We start from the raw sequence: 23,771 nt of genomic DNA, 5'->3' as shown, positions 1-23,771 counted from the left end.
CCCCAACAGCCCGAGTGTCATCTGTTGCAGGACATGTGGACGGTGAGGGACACAGTGGCCATTGCAGCTCTTAGAGCAGCTTGGCTAGTTCAGAGCCTTTGCTTTTGTGGAAAACTAAGGCATTGTTTCCCACAGCAGCACTAGCATTTAGCAGGAACTCACTTCTCTCAAGGTATTTTCCTTCACTCCAGCCATCCAAGGTGGAACTTGCTCCTCTCTGGCCTCTGGACCCAGCCCCACAGGAAGCAGGAGGCATCCATCGGCCCACTCAACCCAAACCATCCACCCTGGAGAGAGCTACCTCCTCCCACCGGACTTACTCCTAAAGGCGAATTGCTAGGAGCTGGCCCTATGCATTGGCTCATCTTTTTCTCATAGTCAGTGGTTGCCCCAGCACAAAGCTGCTCTTTTTATTTTCTTATCCAACGCTTTTTTTATCCAGGTCTGTAACCAAGTCCTCTGACTTGGCAGAACCATCCTTCTGCTCTCTATCTTTGTGAGTTCAATTGTTTTGATTTTTAGATTCCACAAATAGGTGAGAACATGTGATATTTGTCTTTCTGTGCCCTACTTCTTTTGCTTGACATAATGACCTCAGTTCCATCCATGTTGTTGCAAATGACAGGATGTCCTTCTGTGTTATGCTGAATAGTACTGTAACAGGTCTATAACCAAAACCTCTGACTTTGCTTTTCTCAGCTTGCCGAAGCAAGGTAAATAATAAACAAAACGAGAACTGTAAAATGGGAATAATAAAGGTACTTACATAATGGGTTTATGGGAGCATTAAATGAGTTAATATAGAAAGTGTCAGGCATGCAGAAAGTGCTGTCATTTCTATTATTGTTTGAGAGGTCCCCTCCACAGGAGGAATTAGAGCCAAGAGTTAAAGACAGATGCTTCTCAGGAACTATGCTGTAAAGGATGAAAGAAATAGCCTGGAGCTACAGGCGACCCTCAAAGTCAAGGGGCATTGTTTTTCAGGCTAGGAGAAATTTGGTCATGGTTCCAGGCTGATCAAGATGATTGATGAGGCCTGGCGGTGGCTTATGCCTATAATCTCAGCACTTTGGGAGGCTGAGGCAGGCGGATCACTTGAGATCAGGAGTTCGAGACCATGGTGAAACCCTGTCTCTACTAAAAATACAAAAATTAGCCAGGCGTGGTGGTGCACTACTGTAATCCCAGCTACTCAGGAGGCTGAGGCAAGAGAATTGCTTGAACCCAAGAGGCGGAGTTTACAGTGAACCAAGATTGCACCACTGCAGTCCAGCCTAGGCCACAGAGCCAGATTCTGACTCAAAAATAAAAAAAAAAAGACATAATTGATAAAAATAATTATTGAGGAAGAAGTTAATTATAAAAGAAAGAGATAATTCGTGTCAAATCTGTACTTTAGACACTGGGAAATTGTTGTCATGTTTTTATCTTGGAGGAATGGGGATCTCTGCTACCCTGAGCTCCCTTGCGAGGGTTCGTCTATTGGGAAGGGTTGCTAGGATGGTGACTGAAGCTGTCTTCACACCCCCCTCAAGGTAACAAGAGCCAGGTAAACATGGGTGGCTGCACCGGCTTCTTCTGGTGTTGTGCAAGTTGCACTAATAAGTGAAATCAGCAGCAGACAATTTGTCTGCACAACACTAACAGTACTTTGAATACTGGAGATAGTCTAAATTAGTGACAGGCACACATGACAGTCATTCAAATATAGAGATAAAACGATTGCAATTGACTTGAGTTTCAGTGTGTTACAAAGTTGGCCAGATTAGATCTACATCTACATGTCTAGTTCAAAGTTCAATTTCAAATTATAGATTTTTCTCAAAGTCTTCTTTTATCATCTGCTTTGTTTAATCTGCCCTAACTTATTCTACATCCTTTCACATAAAACAACTTTTAACCTAATTCCACTGATCTGATTTTGTTTTTGGAAATTTTACTAACTTCCATGCCAGCAAAGGTGCCAGAGAACTTAAAAGCAATTCATCTTAAAGAATGCAAGAGCCAGACTCTGACATTTAAAGCCGCTGTGTAGTATGTGATTTCTCCACCTGCTGCTCCTTAGATCAGATGGAGTTGGTTTTTGATAGGACATTGTGTGTTCTAAAAGAAGAGAACCAACCCATCTCTGTTCTTGTACCATGTTTTTAGAAAACCAGGGGTTTGTGTTGGTTATAAATATCAAACATAAAAGATTGGAATATTTTTCAAGATGTTGTATGATGGAAATGCATATTATTAGAACAGTGAGAACATTGAATCCAGATCATATCCTTTCGGAAGAAAAGAAAAGAGATGAGATTAGTTTTGTAAAAGCAGGATATTTCTGGAATGTGTATAAGCACGCACATCTCAGAAATACTACTGGATCATTATTTGCAAGCTTGACATATAGGGGAAAAACTTAAAATTTGAAAGCATTTTAATTTAATTTTTGAGTAAGAAAATCAGATCTTAAGAGCATTATCATGGTTAATTTTCTGGATATGCAGAAAGAAAACTAGGGCTAGCATGACCTCAATTCAGGTCAAAGTTCCTGATCTACAAATGTAGAGTGAATGTAAAGTTGTCAAAGCAGGTTGATGACACAGTACTTTAAGAACATCCAAAGTACACGTATTGAACTTGATCACTCAAAGCCAGCAGAAAGGGTGAGTTCTGTTTACTTAACCCAAACCAGAACTGCGAGCCTGAATTGCTCTCTGAACCTGGGAAAACCCTATTTTTTTCGTTGGTTGTAAATTAACTCCAAATAAGCAAACTTCTGCACCAAAGTCATCTAACTCAATATATTTCTGCATACGTATCATAGCTGATGCTGGTGCACGTATAATCTCACCTAGCACCTCCCTCTACAGGTTCCAGTATATACTGTATATGTCTTCATAGGAAGTATGTGGTTTCTCTTTAAAGTTATCCCTCAGAAAAGAAGGAGCTGCTTTATATTTGAGTCTTTACAATGTCTCTCATAAGGCCTTCTCTTAATTTTTTATTTATAATTATCTAAAAACTATTTTTAAAGAGATAGTACATGCACAGGGTAAAAAATGCAAAACGCATAAAAAGGCATATAGTTAAAAAGTAAGTCTGCCTACCGTCTCACTTCCCACCTTCAGAGACCGTCACTATCACACACACTTCAATTTCTGTGGGTACACAGTAGGTGTATATATTTATGGGATACATGAAATACTGTGATACAAGCATACAAATGTGCAATAATCACATCATGTAAAATGGGGTATCCACTCCTTCAAGTGTGACAAACAATCCAATGATACTCGTTATTTTTAAATATATAATTAAATTATTATTGACTGTAGTCACCCTGTTGTGCTGTCAAACACTAGGTCTTATTCATTCTTTCTAACTATATTTTTGTACCCATTAACCATCCCCACCCTCCCACTACCCTTCCCAGCCTCTCATAAGCATGCTTCTGCTATCTCCATGAGTTCAATTGTTTTGATTTTTAGCTCCCACAAATAAGTGAAAACATGCAATGTTTGTCGTTTGTCTTTCTGTGCCTTATTTCACTTATAATGATCTCCAGTTCCATCCATGTTGTTGCGGATGACAGGATCTCATTCTTTTTTATGGCTGAATAGTATTCTGTTGTGTATATGTATCATATTTTCTTTATTCATTCATCTGTTGATAGACACTTAGGTTGCTTCCAAATTTTAGCTATTGTGAACAGGGCTGCAACAAACATGGGAATGCATATATCTCTTCAGTATCCTGATTTCCTTTCTTTTGGGTGTATACCCAGCAATGGGATTGCTGGATCTGATGATAGTTCTGTTTTTAGTCTTTTGAGGAACCTCCAAACTGTTCTTCATAGGGGTTGTACTAATTTACATTCCCACCAACAGTGTATGAAGGTTCCCTTTTCTCCACATCCTTACCAGCACTGGTTATTGCCTGTCTTTGGGATAAAAGGCATTTTAACTGAGGTGAGATGATACCTCATTGTAGTTTTGATTTGCATTTCTCTGATGATCAGTGATGTCGATACCTTTTTATATGCCTGTTTGCCATTTGCATGTCTTCTTTTGAGAAATGTCTATTCAAATCTTTGGCCCATTTTTTAATCAGATTATTAGATTTTTTTCCTATAGTGCTGTTTAAGCTCCTTATATATTCTGGTTATTAATCGCTTATCAGATGGATAGCTTTCAAATATTTTCTCCCATTCTGTGGGTTGTCTCTTCACTTTGTTGATTGTTTTCTTTGCTGTGCAGATGCTTTTTAACTTGATGTGATTCCGTTTGTTGATTTTTGCTTTGGTTACCTGTGCTTGTGGGGTACTGCTCAATAAATTTTTGTCCAGACCAATGTCCTGGAGAGTTTCCCTGATGTTTTCCTATAATGGTTTTATAGTTTGAGGTCTTAGATTTAAGCCTTTCATCCATTTTGATTTGATTTTTGTGTATGGTAAGAGATAGTGGTCTAGTTTCATTCTTCTGCATATGAGTATCCAGTTTTCCCAGCACCATTTATTGAAGAGATTGTCCTTTCCCCAATGTATGTTCTTGGCACCTTTGTCAAATATGAGTTCACTGTGGGTGTGTGAATCTGTTTCTGGGTTCCCAGTTCTGTTCCATTGGTCTATGTGTCTGTTTTTATGCCAGTGCCTGGCTGTTTTGCTTACTACAACTCTGTAGCATAATTTGAAGTCAGATAATTGTATTAATTTATTTTAAACAAAAAATGTGCCATTTGAGTAAGTAACATTAGCCTGAAAACAACCTCAATAAATACTAGTTTGGGATATGTATAAAACATCTTCAAATAAAATCAATTTTAGAAAGAGAGAGAAATTGAAAGGGATTAAGATTGTGTATTTCTTTCAAAGATCACTTTAGAAAGTGATTCCATTTTGATTCTAGCAATATAGTGGATTCATTGTTGGGTAAAACCAAAAATTTCTGGAAAAATATTTACAAACATCTTTGCAAACACATCTCAGCAGGCAGAAAAATAAGAGAAAACTTTGAAGTCCAGAAATGGTGAGAAAACACAAATGCCGCAGTGCAAGGAAGCATGGGGGCTGGCATTTGTCCTGGAGGACCCAGCAGGTGGGCCTGCTTGGGCTCAGGAGACAAAACCAGGCGTCCATGTGAGGGAGAAGGTTGGATCAGGGAACCTTCCTTGGTGCTGGAACCTCCAAAAGGTGATTCCCTCAGTGAGTCAACCAGAAAAATTCCACCCTCCAGAGAGCCTTAGCCTTAGGTGGAATGGGAAAAAAAATTCTCTCCCTTTCAGAATTCAATCACAAGTGCATCCTCATGAAGATTTGGATCCTCAGAAGTCACATGACCTGTCTGGGCTAAAACAGAACAAGTAAACTTTAGTGTAAAGTGGTGCTGTGTTGTAGGACCCCAGGGGATCTGCAGCTGCAAATGCAGCTCCTTTGTGAAGAAATGACTTTAAAGCCAGCTCCCAAGAATTTCCACAGAAAAAGATCCAAGCAATATGAGATCCTAGTGAAAAATCATAAAAGATAGAAATAAAGCAAGGCTTCAAGATCTGGAAGTGACACCAGGCCCCACAAAGTCTGAACGAGGCCCACAAAGACAGCAGATAATGAATTTATCAAGTAAGATGAAGAGGCTTAATATGTTTTAAGAAATAAAAGAGTATCAAGAGTATAATGCAAGAACAACAACAACAAAAAAGATAACCTAGAAGGTTTAACAAAGAAACAAAGACGATTTCTATAAAAAAGAATATATAATAATTAAAATTTGAAACTCAGTGAATGAATGAAACAGCAGATAAGACAAGGAACTGGAAGATAGATCTGAAAGAGTTAACTAGAATGCAGCCAGATAGACAAAGAGATGGGGAACATGTAAGGGAGGTTAGGAAACATGAAGAATGGAGAGAAATGTCTAACATGCAAAAAAATTCTCCGGAAATGAGACAAGCAATATTTGAAGCAAATGATATAAAGAGACATTTCATGAAGAGGTGACAAGAATACTTAATATACATGTAAAAAGATGTTGGAACTCATTAGTAATCAGGAAAATGCAAATTATAACCAACGTGAGATACTCTTCCACACCCACCAAACTGGAAATAGTTGAGTGTCTGATACTTCTAAGCAAAAATGGGGACCAGTGGGGACTCTCATCAACAGCAGACAGAAGTGTCAGTACAACTATTTTATTACCTAAAAATATTCTGTTGAGAGTAAGGACTATGAATGTTAAGGAAATCAGCTAAGTTAAGTTTATTCATTCATTTCATTTAATAAATATTTATTGAGCACCTATGTTCAGGAATTATATGAGAATTTTAAAAATCCATAGTCCCTGCACCAAAAAGCTTAGGATCTAGTGGGTCACATAATAAAAGGGCACACAAATAACATAAAACTATAGCCATGAAAGAAAGATCCTTCAAGAGACCCTGAAGGTGGGGCTGAGCTGTGGAGGTCAGAGAAGGCTCCACTGAGGAAGTAATGACCAAGGGGGGGCCACAGAGTATGAGTGAAATTGAAGACACAGGTGATGGTGGCCAGGGGGATTGCCGTAGACAGCAGGGATGTGACAAATGCCCTGTTGTTGAAGGTAATACTTCCTCAGAGGAAGTGAAAAAAGACCAGCGTGGCTGGAGCAAAGGGAGAGGGAGAGTGAGGCCAGACCAGGAATGCAGGGCTTGCAGGCCATGGGAAGGATTTGGGGTTTTATACGAGAACAATGGGTAGCTACTGACTTGTTTTAAGCTGGGGACTGAAACGATCACTGGAAATAAGAAAAAATAAAAGAGATCATCAATTAATTATAAATCTAAAAATTACATTAGGAAGTGGAATTAAGGGTTTCTGTGACTACCCTTCTGGATCACCAGATGTGACTATGCCGAGAGCAGCAACAGTTGCTGGGCATATCTTCCCTCTCACACTGCAAGCTCAGCTCTGCCTCTGACAGTACAGCCACGATGGTGTCCCAGTTTGTAAATCCTTTCCCCCTCCTTCCCAACAATAGCATGTGAGATGGAAACCTAGCCGGTGGTTCACTTCGTGATGCAAAAAGCATAATTGAATACATTTTACTGCTTTGCAGCCAGAGTAAATGATTTTTCCATTGTTAAGAGTAAAAACCAATTTGTTAGTAAACGGAGCAGATATGATTCAAAAGAAGCAGAAAGCTAGGCGCGGTGGCTCACGCCTGTATTCCCAGCACTTTGGGAGGCCGAGGCGGGCAGATCACCTGAGGTCAGGAGTTCAAGACCAGCCTGGCCAACATGGTGAAAACCATCTCTACTGAAAATACAAAAATTAGCCAGGCGTGGTGGCACGCACCTGTAAGCCCAGCTACTCGGGAGGCCGAGGCAGGAGAATTGCTTGAACCTGGGAGGCTGAGGTTGCAGTGAGCTGAGATCGCACCACTGCACTCCAGCCTGGATGACAGAGTGAGACTGTCTAAAAAAAAAGAGAGAGCAGAAGGACATGAAGAAGTATAACAGATTGTGTCTTTCCTGCTTGTGACTGCAATCATTACAAACAGTTTCCGCAGGAGGCCACATTTCCATTCTGAAGGTAGTGTTTCAAGCTTCCTGGTGTCTCTGGTCCTTTGTAGCTCAGATTCCTTTATCTTTAACAACTTTATTGTGGTGTAATTGACAAACAATGAATGGCCCATATTTAAAGCATATAATTTGATAAGTTTTGAAGTAAGTTTACACCTGTGAAAACATCACCACAATCAAGATAATGACATATCCATCACCCCCAACATTTCTGCCCCTTCCTGTCCTGATCTGTCCCTACCCCACCACAAACAACTCAAGTTTCAGTGTAACCATTCTTTTAGTCAAAATTCCAATAGACTTATTTTATAGGCTAGAATACAATCTCTAAAAGGCCCTTTCTGATTATCTTAACCCAATTCATTGCAAATATTCACCATTAAGATAAGAGTCACTCTGTAGAACCTGTCAATTTTCTCAGTCTTAAGGCTTTGAGAACACTTTAATTTTTCTATAAATCCGAGTTGAATGTACTGCCGGGAAGGAAAAGCTGGAGCCCCAGGGCCTATGGTTCACTCCACCATCATTAATGTTTACATCCACCTTTCAGATCTCATTTTTGATGAAGAGGAAGGAGCGGTTTCCACAAGGGGCACCTCCGTTCAGAGCATTGAACTGGTCCTCCCACCCCATGCAAACCATCACGGAAATACATTTGGTGGCCAGATTATGGCGTGGATGGAGACAGTGGCTACTATTTCTGCAAGGTTCTTGGTTTTGACCTTCGGCCTATGATTTTGGGACCAGTGAGGAGAAAGTAGAAAGGGACTGAGATCCAGTTCTTGGGATAGTCAAGAAGTCAAGGAAAGGACTGAGGAAAATGTTGCCTTTTATAATGATTTCTAAATCATTTACTTTCTTACTTTAGGATTAATCTGTCCTTTTGTTTGAAGGTGAATGTTTAAATATTTTGGTTCAAAAATAAAAATGAGATGACAGTTTTAATACTTTATTCTGAATTATGAATATTGATCTTATGAAACTGCAACTCATTGTCTTGATAGCTTATGACAAAGTAAATGCAGAACAGAAATAGAAGACAGGCTTCACACTTAAAAATAATCAGTCTAGGTTGGGCAGGGTGGCTCACACCTATAATCCCAGCACTCTGGGAGGCCGAGACAGGAAGATTGCTTGATGCCAGGAGTTCAAGACCAGCTTGGGAAACATAGCAAGACCCTGACTCTACAAAAAAAATTTGCTGGTGTAGTGGTGTGCACCTATAGTCCTGGCTAGTTGGGAGGCGGAGGTGGGACGATCACTTGAGCCCAGGGATTCAAAGCTACAGTGAGCTATGATCACACCACTGCACTCCAGCCTCTCTATAAATAAGTAAGTAAATAAATAAAGTCAGTTAGTTACAAACCTTTTTAAAGACAATTTACAGTTAGGTCTGACCTTTAAAGGTGCTGGTTAAAAATAATTATGGCCAAAGAAATAATTGAAAAATAGGAAAAGAAAGAAGAGAATATTTAGAATACTTTTAAAGACTCCTCAATTTCAAAAAGGTTATTTTATTCTTAATGGAAAGATGTAGGTAATTGAGCAGTTTTAGGGAACACTCTGTACCCTGTAAATGCATTTGAATAGGATCTGCCCTTCTGACAATTTTCATAACCATTGAAAATTTTTAAGGTTGTATTTCCCTCAAATTAAAATAATTTTATTATTAATATGTCTATAGTTATGACTATAGTTACAAACCAGTAGTTATCCTTTCTAAAAATTATGCACAAATAAGAGAGCTTGTTTTTAAAATGAGATTGTCATTCTTAGTGACAGTAAAGCAATTGAACATGTTCTATTGTAAAGGCTTATGGCAGCATCTGTTCGCTTGGTGTTGGCACAGAGTAATTGAATGATGACTGGGAATCTAAAATGTAGAAAATTATGGAAGTAACTTTCTGAAATTAAATATTATATATAATTATTTCAAAGTGTCATACACACAAAAATTATAAAATGTGTATCTCCTAGCCTTTCAGGCTTTATGTAGCAATCCAGGTAATTTTTCTGTGAGGGGAAAAAACTTATCTTTTGATCTGTGGGTGAATTTGATTAACTGTAAAGCTGAGGAATTGTGTAAGGACACCTGCCTTCACTTGGACCCCACTCCAACCTGGATCAGAACTTCTTGGGACTACAGTCATGAGCTATCAGGATGACTGTAATTCAGATTAGAACAAAAAGCATTGGTTTGTTGTTCCAAGGGACTTCCACAGGAAACGAGACAAGAGTAGGACTGTTACCAAAGGAGTAGAAGCATCAACATCTGGGTAAAGACCCCACTGCTCGGGGACATGGTATTTCCCAAAATATTGGCAGGTAGCGTGCAGACCTACCCTCAACCCACATAATCCAGTTATTTATTTCAGTCAAATTTAAAGAAATGCTTATTTGAAGACTTGTCTGTGCATTTGTTCGATGAATGAATGTGTGATCGCTTTCTTCTCTCTCCCTCCCTTTGTCTCCCCAGCCGCCTGTGTTGGGCTCATCCCTTTCTGAAGTCCGTAGATATGTTTAAGTTCCGGGGACCATCTACAGTTGGAGATCGTCTTGTCTTCACTGCCATTGTCAACAATACATTTCAGACCTGGTAAAGTGAGCCCTTAGGCTGCTATGAAGAAATTTAAACTTGCACAAATGTAATTTTTAATTTCAGCCTGGAGGTGAGTATGGGAACTACTTTAGTGAAATTCCATTTTTTTCATGCAATTTTCAAAATCCATGAACATATTTTTAACCCTTTGTTCTGCTTGGGGCCTTTTCACAATTAGTAAATTGTGAAGGACTGGTTTTTGTCTTATAAGGGTAGCCGTATGTCCCAATTGGCCCAAGTAGGACCTGGTTTGTACCTGTCATCCCTGCATAATTATTAACTTTTCCTTTCAGTCCCAGTGACTAGATGGTCAATCAACTCATAATGGACCTGGTATTACCACCATGAAATCCAAACCACTTCCCAGTTATTTTTATTATTCTTGATACACAATGAAAAGATTTGATTTAGTATTATTTTCTTTTTAAATGTAAAAATGAATATCTGTGTTTCCTGTCTAATTTCAGTGTTTATTTTTTAATTACAGAATTATTGTTTTTAGGGAAGAAAACTTAACTTTGGCATAATTTAAGCCCTCCCCCACATTGCCAAAATATGTTCTTGAATGTATATAAAGCCCTTCCTGGCCTTTTTCCCACTTGAAAGTGGGGAAGTAAAATGGAAATGCTCTTAGGGGCTTGTAAAAAGCAGCCCATTGACCTGAAAATGGATTTTAATAGTTGCACAGGTTTGCTGATAACAAACAAGAAAACCCAGGCCCTTATCCTCCTGTTGCTTAGAGGAGGTGGCAGCGGTGGGCGAGGAGGTGGCAGCGGTGTGCAAGGAGGGCCTGATGGGTCAAGATCCTCTTTGCCCACCGCCCTGCATCACCCTTCACAGTGTTGAAGTTGGAGTTCGCGTGGAGGCCTTTGACTGTCAGGAATGGGCCGAGGGCCGAGGGCGTCACATCAACAGTGCTTTTCTCATTTACAATGCTGCTGATGATAAGGAAAATCTCATCACGTTTCCCAGAATCCAACCCATTTCAAAGGTCAGTTATTATCACACGAGGTTCAATAGCCGGACCTGTGAATAGAGAGCTCTACCTAGAATCTCCTCCCACCGGCAACAACCTCTTTGGCTCTTTCCCTTTGGTTTTCCCTCTTTTCAGCATCACAAAGTGAAGTGGGCTTTTTTCTTTTCCTTTTCCCCCCGATCACTCTGATCATTTGTTCAAATGATGGAAGCCCTGAAGACCTCACCTCTACCGGGCTACACACTGCTGTGGGTAGGATGTCACCTTCTATGTCCTGTTTCTGGGTCTCTTCTCTCACTTCCTTAACTCTAGCTCTTGATGCTGTGCCACGTGCCAGGTTCATGGAAACCATATCTTTCCCTCATCCCTAAATTACCTGATTGCCAATGTTAATTTTTTCTAAAAACTCTGTAGTGAGAATTAAGTATAATTCTGGTAACAGGAATGTTAATAATCTCCACTTTTGAGAAAAGGAAGAAAATAGCTGCAAAGATTGCACCTTTGTCAGTGCAACTGCCCTTTGTGGATTCAGCACAGAGACTCTGACTTGATGAAGTCAGTTCATGGAGAGACACCACATCTCAGTTAGCCCTTTTGACTGATTTAGGAGAAGGATACTTAAGGATTATAGCACTAAGATAGTAGATATTTTATTTTATTTTATTGATTTTACTTTGTTTTTGATTAAAGGATGATTTCAGACGCTATCGGGGAGCTATTGCACGCAAGCGAATTCGCCTAGGCAGGTAAGGAACATAAGGTGTAATGATTTTATGGAGTCTTCGTTAATCTGACAAATTATATAAGAGCCCCCCTCTGGGTCTCTATTCCCACGTAACGGAAAAAGAGAAGGTCTGATGTTTCCTGGCCGCAAAGGCTGACTACTGACTTATGGAAATAGTTCTTCCACGTTGTTCCACTGATATCCATGGCTGATAGAAGTTCAAGAAAGTATTATGGTTATTGTTGTGTGCTAAATGCAGAGAAAAAAACTGTCATTTAACACTTTAATTTTTTTTTCCAGAAAATATGTTATTTCCCACAAAGAAGAGGTTCCACTTTGCATACACTGGGATATCAGCAAGCAGGTGATGTTTTGTGATTTGGAGCTCTTCATATAAAAGTCTCATCATTACAAAAATGGAAATCCGCTTGCCTAACTGGCCTAGGCTGTGCCTACGCAGGCTATGTGAAAAGGTGGATTATATCAGCCAGTCATGTCAAGATGAAACAAAACCAGGCTATCAGTTACTGCTTACCAATCGGCAGTTTAGCCTTGTTTGACTTCTTACAGTTCCCAAACTGCAGACTCAGGATGCTCTGCCATCAGATATGTTCCAGAAGCATGGCACAGTGCCACCTGGTATCTCACCGTGACTTGTGCCCACCAGCTTGCATTTTTATAAAAACAATAACAAAGTAGTAGTCATTTGAATATTTTTAACCATTAAATGTAAAGAGAAATCCAAGTTTACTTATTACACATTGATTATCAGTCATACTGAAAGGTAGTCTGTCTTTGCTCAGGACACCAACTAAAATGATACTAAAATGATACGCAGTTGTTAAGTATACAGTTACTTTGTCTGAATTCTGAATTAAGGGTTCAAGATAAAAAGTATATGTTACCTGTAGCTTAGTTCTTTTTACTTTTGTTTGTTTTTTTTTCGTTTTTGCTTTTGTTTTTGTTTTTGTTGGGTTTTTTTTTGGTATTTTTTTGAGACAGAGTCTCACTCTGTCGCCCAGGCTGGAGTGCAGTGGCGCAATCTTGGCTCACTGCAACCTCCGCCTCCCGGTGGCGGGTTCAAGCGATTCTTCTGCCTCAGCCTCCAAGTAGCTGGGATTACAAGTTTGCACTACAACACCCGGCTAATTTTTGTATTTTTCGTAGAAATGGGGTTTCACCATGTTGGCCAGGCTGGTCTCAAGCTCCTATCCTCAAGTGATCTGCCTGCCTTGGCCTCCCAAAGTGCTGGGACTACAGGCATGAGCCACTTCACCTGGCCTGTAGTTTAGTTCTAAACTCAACATTATCACTAGGACTCAACACATACCTCCTCCAACAGTGCCCATTTTTTAAGCAGAAAATATATGATCACACATCCATGTATTGAACACATAGCTTTAAAAATATAATATTTCTATTCTAGGCATCCCTGAGTGACAGCAATGTGGAGGCCCTCAAAAAACTGGCAGCCAAAAGGGGTTGGGAGGTTACCAGCACTGTGGAAAAGGTAGGACACTTCCAGGTATTTGCATAATCCATCGCCCATCACAAACGAAAGCTGTGGTGGTGGTGGTTCTACTGCTTCTACTGAGGCTTTTAAGAAGGTAACAAAATCTTTTGAGGAAACTGTTTCTAAGACGCAACCATCTTTTCAGCCCTGTCTCTACAAGCTGGTTGATTTGGAGTCCTTCAAATATACCCAACATGCTCCTACCTCTGAGCTTAGGTTCTCACATCCCGTCTCTCCCTCCTTCTCTTCTCCATCTACCCAAATCCCACCTGATCTAGATCAGGACAGATGCTTCTCCATAAAGCCTCAACTGCCACACTTGACTTAAGGACTTCTTTTTCTAGTAACTGTCATGACTTCTTTAAAATTAATTTTTTTGGTCGAGTGTGCTGGCTCACGTCTGTAATCCTAGTACTTTGGGAGGCCAAGGCAGGAGGATCCCTTGAGGCCAGGAGTTTGATACCAGCCCAGGCAAAACAATGAGACCCCATCTCTACAAAAAATTTAAAAATTAGCCGGCTGTGGTAGCAGACACTTGTAGTCTTAGCTACCCAGGAGGTTGAGGTGGGAGGATCACTTGAGCCCAGGCATTTCAGCCTCCAGTGAGCTATGATTGCATCATTGCATTCCAGTCTGGGCAATAGAGCAAGACTCTGTCTCTAAAAAAAATAAATAAATAAATAATTGGTCAATTAATTATACACTATCTTGTGACATTTCTTCCACAGCTACCTCAAATTAATATTTAAGCCTTACATGGAAATTTAACTTTTTACACATGGTCTTCTTTCCCTAAGTACATTATAAACCTCTTAAGAAAGAGGCCTTGTCTGGACTTCTTTGTATCTCTCTTAGGACCTATTACAGTGTTTTGCATGCCATCAGGTTTAAAGAGACATACATCATTTGGATCATAATTTTATCTATTTTCAGAGGTTTTTTAGGAGACCCTCGGAAGCTCATGCCCACAATAACTAGACTGTAAGCTCCCTGAGGGCCGATCTGCTCACCACTACACCCAGACCATAGGAGCGCCTGGCACTTCAGAGATGCTCACTAATGCCAGCACTTTGGCTACATTCATATTTCAGTATGCACTGATTTTCATCATCAGTGAAGCAGCAGCCTATGAAATAGGATGACCATATGTCCTGATTTTCCTGGGACAGCTCTGGCTTACACCTGTTGTCCCATCATAATTATTAACAGTCTCTTGGTGTTCCAGTTTGGATGATAAATTATATTGTTACTTTACCTTTAAATCTAAGTAAATTCAGATGCTACTTCATTGATTCGTTTCAACTCTGACTTTGACTTCTTCTGAATGTTTTGTTTTTGGTTGTTTCCTTTTATGAGTTCTCTGTCCTCATTATTAAATCCTTTAGAAGTCTTCCTTATCCCATTTGGATCCAGTTAAATTTCTGTCTTTGCCTGGTTCAGTGATGCAGAAACACAGGTTTAACTAATGCATTTGTTTATCTTTCATAAAAGATGCTTCACTACTTTGTTTTCTTTTACTATTATAAAACTTACTTCTTTCATCATTGCTGGCATCTGAGCATTCATGAGCAGCAGTGGAAAGAACAAATTCATGTCTGGAATGAACTGAAAGAACATATTTAGTGAAGTCGTAGAATATATTAAAACTGCAGTTCTTTGGGAGGGTGTGGCCCAAAGCATACCCAAATAAATTTGCTAGTGTTGTGGGAGAGCTATCAATGATTAATTCTTCATTCTTATACAGATAGTTACTAGAGGATATTGTATAAAGTAATATTCTTGTGTTATTTCCATTGAATTTGAATTTCTCCTTTAAAGATTATACTTATGATAAAAATCTGATTTTAAAAATCTGATAAAAGATGTTTTTGAAGAGTTTTCCTCCTCTTCTCTCCCACGTTTTACAGCTTATATGTTTTTAATTTCAAAATATGACTCTAATTTTTTTCTGCCACCTTTTAGTGGAATAATTCTTACAACACAGTTGTCTGTTAAGAATCATACTTTTGGGCCAGGCTCAGTGGCTGACGCCTGTAATCCCAACACTTTGGGAGGCCGAGGCAGGTGGATCACAAGGTCAGGGGTTCAAGACCAGCCTGGCCAAGATGGTGAAACACTGTCTCTACTAAAACTACAAAAATTAGACAGGGGCAGTGGCAGGCGCCTGTAATCCCAGCTATTTGGGAGGCTGAGACAGGAGAATTGCTTGAACCTGGGCGGCAGAGGTTGCAGTGGGCCGAGATCGTGTTACTGCACTCAAGCCTGGGCAACAGAGTGAGACTCCATCTCAAAAAAACAAAACAAAACAAAACAACAAACAATCATACTTTCTGGGCAGGCGCAGTGGCTCACACCTGTAATCCCAGCAGTTTGGGAGGCCAAAGTGGGTGGATCACTTGAGGTCAGGAGTTCAAGACCAGCCTGACCAACATGGTGAAACCCCATCTCTACTAAAAATAAAAAATTAGCTGGGTGTCATGGCGGGCACCTGTAATCTCAGCTGCTTGGGAGGCTTAGGCATGAGAATCACTTGAACCTGGGAGGCAGAGGTTGCAGTGAGCCGAGATTGTGCAGCTGCACTCCAGCCTGGGCAACAGAGTGAGACCCTATATCAAAAAAAAAAAAAGAATCATACTTTCCTCAAAGCCGGGTCTGACAGCATCCACCTGTAGTCCCAGCTACTCGGGAATCTGAGGTAGAAGGATTGTTTGAGCCTAGGAGTTTGAGGCCAGCCTGGGCAACATAAAATGACTTCATCTCTATAAAAAAAAATCATGTTTTTTCCAGGTTTTCAATATAAATTAGATGGTAAAAATTTAAGATTGTAGTATATGTGATGAAATTGGATAGGGCTTATGGTTTTAATTCGTTTCATGTTTCATGTATAATGATAGAATTAATTGTAGTAGTAATACAAGGAGCAAAATGTATATTTTGGAAACATCACACAGGTATGTGAAACAGCTGAAGAATAATTATAAGGTCGTTTATTAACAAGTGAGAGATTACAGTGCTTAAACCATAAAAGTCAGCTCTTATAGGCAATTCCAAGAGAAGACAGTTATATAGGGAGAACTTTAGAGAGGAGGCCATTCTTACCTCCTTGAAGACAGTGTCAGGAGTGGATTGCTGAGGGAGAAATAGGGCTTTCTAGGCAGTGGGTAGTTTAAGCCAAGTTCTCCTGGTGGAAATTAGCATTGAGTAGGAGACTGGCCTGACAGGAGTAACTTTTTATTTAAGGAAGACCTGGGGATGTACTGGGAAAATTATGATGAAAGCCAGAATGACATGAACCACTTGAAAACCTTTACATAGGACAGACCCCTAGTATAGGAAACAGACCAGAGGGGAGCTATTCTCATGGAGCCGGGGGAGGGGCTGGGCCCAGAGCTCCGCCCTTCCGACCCCCACCCGCTTGGCCCCCGTGGTCATCTCCAGATACCTCCAGGGAAAATGAAGGCTCCCCTAGGCTTCTGTAAAAACCACTTTTGCCCTCTTTACCACAGTGTAGTCTCCATAACATATTTGTCAATAGATGGTACAAAAATTCTCAAATTTTTAGTTGTTTCCTCTTGTACTGTTTGTTTTTTGAGATAGAGTCTCACTCTTTGCCCAGGTTGGAGTGCAGTGGTGTGATCTCGGTTCACTACAACTCCCCCTCCTGGGTTCCAGGGATTCTCGTGCCTCAGCCTCCCAAGTAGCTGGGACTACAGGCATGTGCCACCACCCCTGGATAATTTTTGTGTTTTCAGTAGAGACAGGGTTTCACCATGTTTCCAGGTTGGTCTCAAACTCCTGACCTCAGGTGATCTGCCCACCTCGGCCTCCCAAAGTGTTGGGATTGCAAGCCCTCTTATACTATTTGTATAAGACATTAAATTCAAATTCAAAAAGAATCTTATTAGAATGAAAACAATGATATCACTAATAAAATGTTAGCAAGATCCAGCAGATTTTGAGCCTGCTTGCTTTAAGCTTCATTTCGTAGAATGAAATTCTCCAACCATCAAATGATAAAGAAAACGTTTGAGTTGGCGTATTAGTTCATCCTCACATTGCTATAAAGAACTACCTGAGACTGGGTAATTTATAAAGAAAAGAGGTTTAATTGGTTCAGGGTTCCATAGGCTGCACAGGAAGCATGGCTGGGGAGGCCTCAGGAAACTTACAATCGTGGCAGAAGGTGAAGAGGAAGCAGGCACGTCCTACATGGCTAGAGCAGGAGGAAGAGAGAGGGGGAGGTGCCACACACTTTCAAACAACCAGATCTCATGAGAACTCACTCACTATCACAAGAACAGCAAGGGGGAAGTCCACTCCCATGATCCAGTCACTTCCCACCAGGTCCCTGCTCCAGCACTGGGGATTACAATTCGACATGAGATTTGGTTGAAATCACAAATCCAATCCATATCAGTTGGTTACAAATAAATAAATAAATTGAATCTCTATATTCCCAAATGTGAAAGGTAATTCATTTTCTTGGAGAATTGTTCCTGGAAAATTTTTTCACTAAGCAAAAGCTGGCCTTTATTAGCAGGGTTTAAAGAGAACCAAAACTAACTACTGCATTTCCTTGTCTGCTTTGTTTGCATCAATATCATTGATTTATACAGCAGGGCAACGGGGACTTTCTGCTACCCTCACCTTCTAGGGGAAAGATCAAAATCGAATTTGCTCATCCAGTACTGTACCTGACATTGGATAAGTCAAGTGAGCTCTGTAAGGGCAGAATTCAGTGGTGGTTACAACTTAGCTTGATGTTTGGTTTGGCTCCAGGATAGGAAGCAGAAGCATGTGACTGCAACCTGGGGAGCAGCACCCCCAGAAAAGTGCTGTATTAGTTTCCTAGGGCTGCTATAACAGAGGACCACAAACTGGGTAGTGGACACATTAGAAATCTATTGTCTCACAATTCTGGAAGCTGGTAGTCTGAGACCAAGATGTCAGCAGGGTTGCTTCTTTCTGAGCCTGTGAGGGACAATCTGTTCCATGCTTGTCTCCTAGCTTCTGGTGATTTTCTGTCAGTCTTTGGCATTCCTTGGCTTATAGAAACATCACCAGATCTCCACCCTTGTCATCACATGTGTTCTCCCTATAAGCATGTCTATGTCCAATGTCCCTTTTTAATAAGGATGCCAGTCATATTGGATTAGGGGCCCATCCTACCACAGCACAACCTCATCTTGACTAATTACATCTGCAAGAGCCCCATTTCCATATAAGGTCAGATTCTGAGGTACAGGAGGTTGGGGCTACAGCATATGAATTTGGGGGTGGAAGGGTAGAGAAATAATTCAACTCTTAATAAGTGCTCAGCACAATATTGCATCCCACTCCATCTTGTTCCACCAGAATGGAGCATGGCTGCCCCAAGGGCAGATTAGGACTGGCACTATGGAGTTCACCCTGGCCACCTGCCCTCAGCTCCTCTGAGATTGCAGAGCCCCAGCAGGCCATCCTAGAGCCACTTACCTACCAACCACCGATTGGATGACTGATGAATCTGATAATCTCTCTGGATATACACCAATGAAACTCCTTCAACTCCCCCTGTGCTGGGGGCAAAGTTAGGCATGCCCATGCTAAGTAGGGTGTGTCTCACCAGCCACCTGGAGCCCCATCCCTAGTTTTCTTGGTGTTTGATAAGTGCTCACAGCCTCAGTCATGTCTTCCTTTGCAGGCTGGATTTAAAGGGAGGCTTGGAACCAAGTTCAATTGGAGAGGTTAAATGGTGTAAGCAAATAATCACTTGTTTCCTTTCTGAGCAGCTTGTAGTTAATTTCTCATTTTCTCATTCTCTTATTGATGATATTTATGTTTAAATAAAGCCTTCTCCTTTACAGCCTGATTTTTCCCATCTGCTTGATTCCTGCAGTGAAGTCCTAACCCCATATTTGTTTGTTTTCTCACAGCTTGTTGCCATGGGAATGGTTATAAGGTAGCAAATTTCAACACTAACTTCAAAGTATCCTGAAAGAGATAAAGAAAACGGGAAGGATAGAAATGTGTTCTTAGCTGAACACACATCTCTGATTATTGTCAAAAACACAGTAGAAGAAAAGCTCAGAGTAGCAAGGGATGCATTCATGCTTAAGTATATGTCAAATGGCTCCCCAGGACAAGCCTCCTCTTACCTAAGGAATAATGTGCATTAGGAAACCAGGAACTGGCCTTTCAGAAGGATGATCCAGCCACTGTGATTCGGAAATGAAAGGGTGCTTCGTGCTGAGGAAATATGGTGCTCCAGGGGCCCTGCTAAGAGGCTGAGATGGTTCTAGAAGTGGTTGATTCAGTTCCTGGATCCCCTTGGCCCACTTAAAGACACGCCTGACATCCTGGGAAAGTGTCCTAAGCTATAGCCTTGACTCTGCTCTTTTGAGGGAGATGAGGTGCTGACCTGCCTAGCAGTCTGGTGATATTTTCTTTTTTTCCTCAGTAGAGGCAGGGAAACATCACAAAGAGACAAGGAGAGAAAGGCCTAGGTTTTTACATTTTTCATGAGAAAAAAAAAAACTGTTGTGCAATAATTAAATAGCCCACCCTCAAGTCACATATTGTTTAGAGGACACGAGACTACAGCATCCTGGACAGACCTCTAGACATCCCAGTATTTGAAGAGAAATTGCCATGGGGCTTCAATTTCATCCAGGAAATAAGATGCCTTAGTTAGTGCAATTGGTCTATGACTACATATATATGCATATGGTTTCTAAAGTAAAAGCATCAGTTTTCTTTCGTAATTTAATTTTTTTGTTGTCTTTTAGATAAAAATATATACTCTGGAAGAGCATGATGTTTTATCTGTTTGGGTTGAAAAGCACGTGGGAAGTCCAGCACATTTGGCTTATCGTCTCTTGTCTGACTTTACAAAGCGACCTTTGTGGGACCCCCATTTTGTGTAAGAACAAATTTAAAAATTTTTCTCAATCAACCTTGACATAATGTAAAAGATGATCTCCATACTGAAGTCCATCTCCATCGTCCAATGTGTGACCCATTGTTTAAAGAGTATTTTTAGAAGTTTGACCCAGCATAGCACTTTGGGAGGCTGAGGCAGGTGGATAGTTGAGTCCGGGAGTTCAAGACCAGCCTGGGCAACATGGTGAAAGCCCATCTCTATAAAATACACAAAAATTAGCTGGACATGGTGGTGCATGCCTGTAATCCTAGCTACCCGGGAGACCCAGGTGGGAGGATTGCATGAGTCTGGGAGGTCAAGGCTACAGTGAGCCAAGATCACACCACTGCACTCTAGCCTGGGTGACACAGGAGACCCTGTCAAAAATTAAAATAAAAATAAAGTTTGATCTGGACAGAATACTGCATCAGGTGATATTGAGAGACACAAAACAAAAATTATACTCACTTATCATCTATATTGAGTTGACCTGCTTTACACACATCTATTGTAATTCTACCAGTAACTTCAAGGTCAATATTATTTCCATTTAAGAGGTTCTGAGACGTGCCAAGATTGCACAGGCAATAAAGTGATGGAACCCAAACTGGAACCCAAGTCTGTCATGCTCTGAATTCTACACTCTTCTACTTTAATATGCAACCTCATTGCTCTTGAGGAAGTGATTATCCAATTGTCCTGCATACTCTCAATATTTCATTGGCAGTTCCTTACTTTTCTGTGAAGCAACCCTCCCTGGTGAGAAGCTAAGAGAGCAAGCTGTGTGAGCCCCGAGGTGAAAGGCATGCCTTCCTGCTCCCCCTCCTGATGATGTCCCTGCTCCTATTAGCCTACATCTCCCACTCCTGCCACTCCCTGTCTCCTGCATCCCTAATCCAATCTCCTCCACTCCCCAGCCCTTTCCTGGAACACAGTACAGAGCTGTGCACCCTGCCAACTGCACTGACAGAGACCAGCTGCACTGGGGCCCAGCCACCTTGGCTATAGCACCCCGCAGGGCTTCATGGCCCACCTTGTTGACACGGAAGAGTTGATGAGATGGGCTTCCTATGTGTTAAGCGTTTCCTAATCTTGACAAGATAGAGGCTCATCTTCAAATTTTCTAAAACTCACTGTGATAGAGATTTAGAAATACCATGTAACATATGATTTAATACCACTAAAGTGAAACATCTCTGAGGTCACGTGTTACATTGGCACAGATGCTAGAGTTGAAATGGGAGGAGTTCCCTTATCCTCCTCATAGGGCCTGCGACAAGGGTGTGGCTTGTTTCTTCCGTGCTGCTCAAACCCCTAGAGGGATCATGCAGACGCTTAAGTCGCTTAAGTCGTGGGGAGTGTTTTTGAGCTCTGACCCCACGGCAGCATCTAGGGTTGACTGTTTATGGCTTCTGAAGCCCCGGTGGGTGTGTGTTACGATGCGCTCTTTCAGTTTTGCTGTCTGCAGGCAGCCTGTGTTAATCAGCTCGATCAGACCCTCTGCCTTATTGCAAGAACAGAGGGCTTTCTGTATCCTGGATTCTTGCGTTAGTGTACTGGAAAAAACGGCTCACGCGTGGCCTTGGAGGATGGGTGCAAGGTTTATTGAGTGGTGGAAGTTGCTTTTAGCAAGATGGATGGGGAGCCAGAAGGAGGATGGAGTGGGAAGGTGGTCTTCTTCTGGAGTCAGGCTGCCCAGCCACCAGACTCTCCTCTGACCACCCCTGACTGAATTCCATGTCTTTCCACCATCGATGGTCTGCCAGCGTCTGCTGGTGTCTGGCAGTGTGCTCCTCTGTTCCTCTCAACATCCAGCCCGCTAGGGTCTCGGGTTTTTTATGGGCACAGGATGTGGGGTGCAGTGGGCCAAAAGGTAACTTTTGGGGTGTGAAAACAGAAATGCCTGTCCTCATTTAGGTCTGTGGGCACAGGCCCGAGGGTGGAGCCCTCACCAGGGACCCTGCCCTTCCCTACCCAACATTTCCCTGCCCACCTCCTGTATCAGAATGATACATCGTGGTTAATGCTATCATAATAAATCATTCTGAGAGAAGAGGAACACTTCTCAATTTTCTTGCATCAATTTAGTAGATACTCTACCAGTACAAGCTTTTAGGAATAACAATGCCTAAACTTTGGTGTTATGCTTTAAAAATGTTTCTCCCACTATCTCTATGTCACTTGACATTCCAGCCAAATTGAAGTTGAACAAATTGGGGAGTGAATGAATGAATTCTAATCCAACTAACTTTTCTTGTACATGTACTATGATTCAGGTACTATGCCAGGTGTTTTCACTGAATCCTTGCAATAACCCCACGTATCATTATCTAAATTTTACAGATGAAAAAATCAAATGACTTGCCTAACGCAACTTATGTAGCGAGTAAGTGGCAATCTGGGAGTCAAAAGAAAGTTGTGTGACTCCAAAGCTAGTGCGGTTTCCAATATACCACATTTCTTTATCTATATAAACAATCCTTCTTGGACTGACTATATGATTTACCAGTCCTCACAATGTTTTTACTTGATCCTGGAGAAAAATAATTTTGTGTAAAACAGCTCAATGCCTTTCACTGAAGTATTGAGAATTATGAACTTGAAGTCAGATGGCCACCATCCTCTATCACTTGCAGAATTATTCCTTCTGATCAAAGAGCTCTTGCGTTTTTTGTTTGTTTGTTGTGGCTTTTTTTTTTTTTTTAAGATCTCACTGTGTCACCTAAGCTGGACTGCAGTGGCACAGTCATGGATCACTGCAGCCTCAACCTCTCAGGCTCAAGTGATATTCCCACCTCAACCTCTCGAGTAGCTGGGAGTACAGGCATGCACCACCACACTCAAATAATTTTTTAAAAAATTTTTATAAAGATAGGGTTTTGCAAGATTTTGCCCAGGTTAGTCCTGAACTCCTGGCCTCAAGTGATCCTCCCACCTCAGACTCCCAAGGTGTTAGGATTGCAGGCATGAGCCACTGTGCCTACCCTCAAAGAGCTCTTCTAAAGGCAGACTTGAGCAATAATGCTGGCTTTTAGGGAGATGATTAGGTGAGCTGAAGGGGCAAATATGGATACAAATAATGAGATTATGTAAGCAAATAAGGGAAGTGAATGCCTGAGCAGGTAGAAAGTATACCTGCTTTTCACTGTTCTATATACACAGGTCCTGTGAAGTCATAGACTGGGTGAGTGAAGATGATCAGCTGTATCACATCACCTGTCCTATACTGAATGATGACAAACCCAAAGACTTGGTAGTACTCGTATCACGAAGAAAACCCCTCAAAGATGGGTGAGTATATGCAGTCCAAGTGTTCTATTAATATTTCATAGTATAGGATAGAAATTAAAAGTTGATGTGAAAATAATGAAGTCTGTGTAGATATTTCTGCTCTTGAATTATGTTTATTTGAATTATACCTAGATGAATCTTTAGCTATTATTTTAAAAATTAACAGTCATCTATTAAGAGCCAGCTGTTTGCAAAGGACAATGCAAGAATCCTAAAGTAGTTCCT

The 23,771-nt window shown here is 41.0% G+C and overlaps 1 protein-coding gene across 6 annotated transcripts in view; it reads left to right on the top strand.

The window, feature by feature from the left end:
- The window catches only part of ACOT12 (acyl-CoA thioesterase 12), an 85,526-nt gene that overhangs the window by 38,112 nt on the left and 23,643 nt on the right, over positions 1-23,771 (top strand). For 4 of the 6 annotated variants that reach the window (XM_017009047.2, XM_017009045.2, XM_017009048.2 and 1 more), the window contains 8 exons: positions 8,093-8,249; positions 10,019-10,138; positions 10,982-11,132; positions 11,808-11,863; positions 12,142-12,205; positions 13,268-13,351; positions 20,122-20,255; positions 23,418-23,546. In XM_017009047.2, coding sequence (XP_016864536.1) covers positions 8,093-8,249; positions 10,019-10,138; positions 10,982-11,132; positions 11,808-11,863; positions 12,142-12,205; positions 13,268-13,351; positions 20,122-20,255; positions 23,418-23,546 — 895 coding nt within the window. Of the gene's footprint in view, positions 1-8,092; positions 8,250-10,018; positions 10,139-10,981; positions 11,133-11,807; positions 11,864-12,141; positions 12,206-13,267; positions 13,352-20,121; positions 20,256-23,417; positions 23,547-23,771 lie in introns of those variants that run through there. The other 2 variants (XM_017009046.2, XM_006714532.3) reach the window with 2 other exon arrangements.

The sequence above is a fragment of the Homo sapiens genome, chromosome 5, assembly GCF_000001405.40.
Source record: "Homo sapiens chromosome 5, GRCh38.p14 Primary Assembly".
Taxonomy (NCBI): Eukaryota; Metazoa; Chordata; class Mammalia; order Primates; family Hominidae; genus Homo; species Homo sapiens.
Note: the sequence above shows the minus strand (reverse complement) of the source record. Positions and strands in the feature narration are given on the sequence as shown.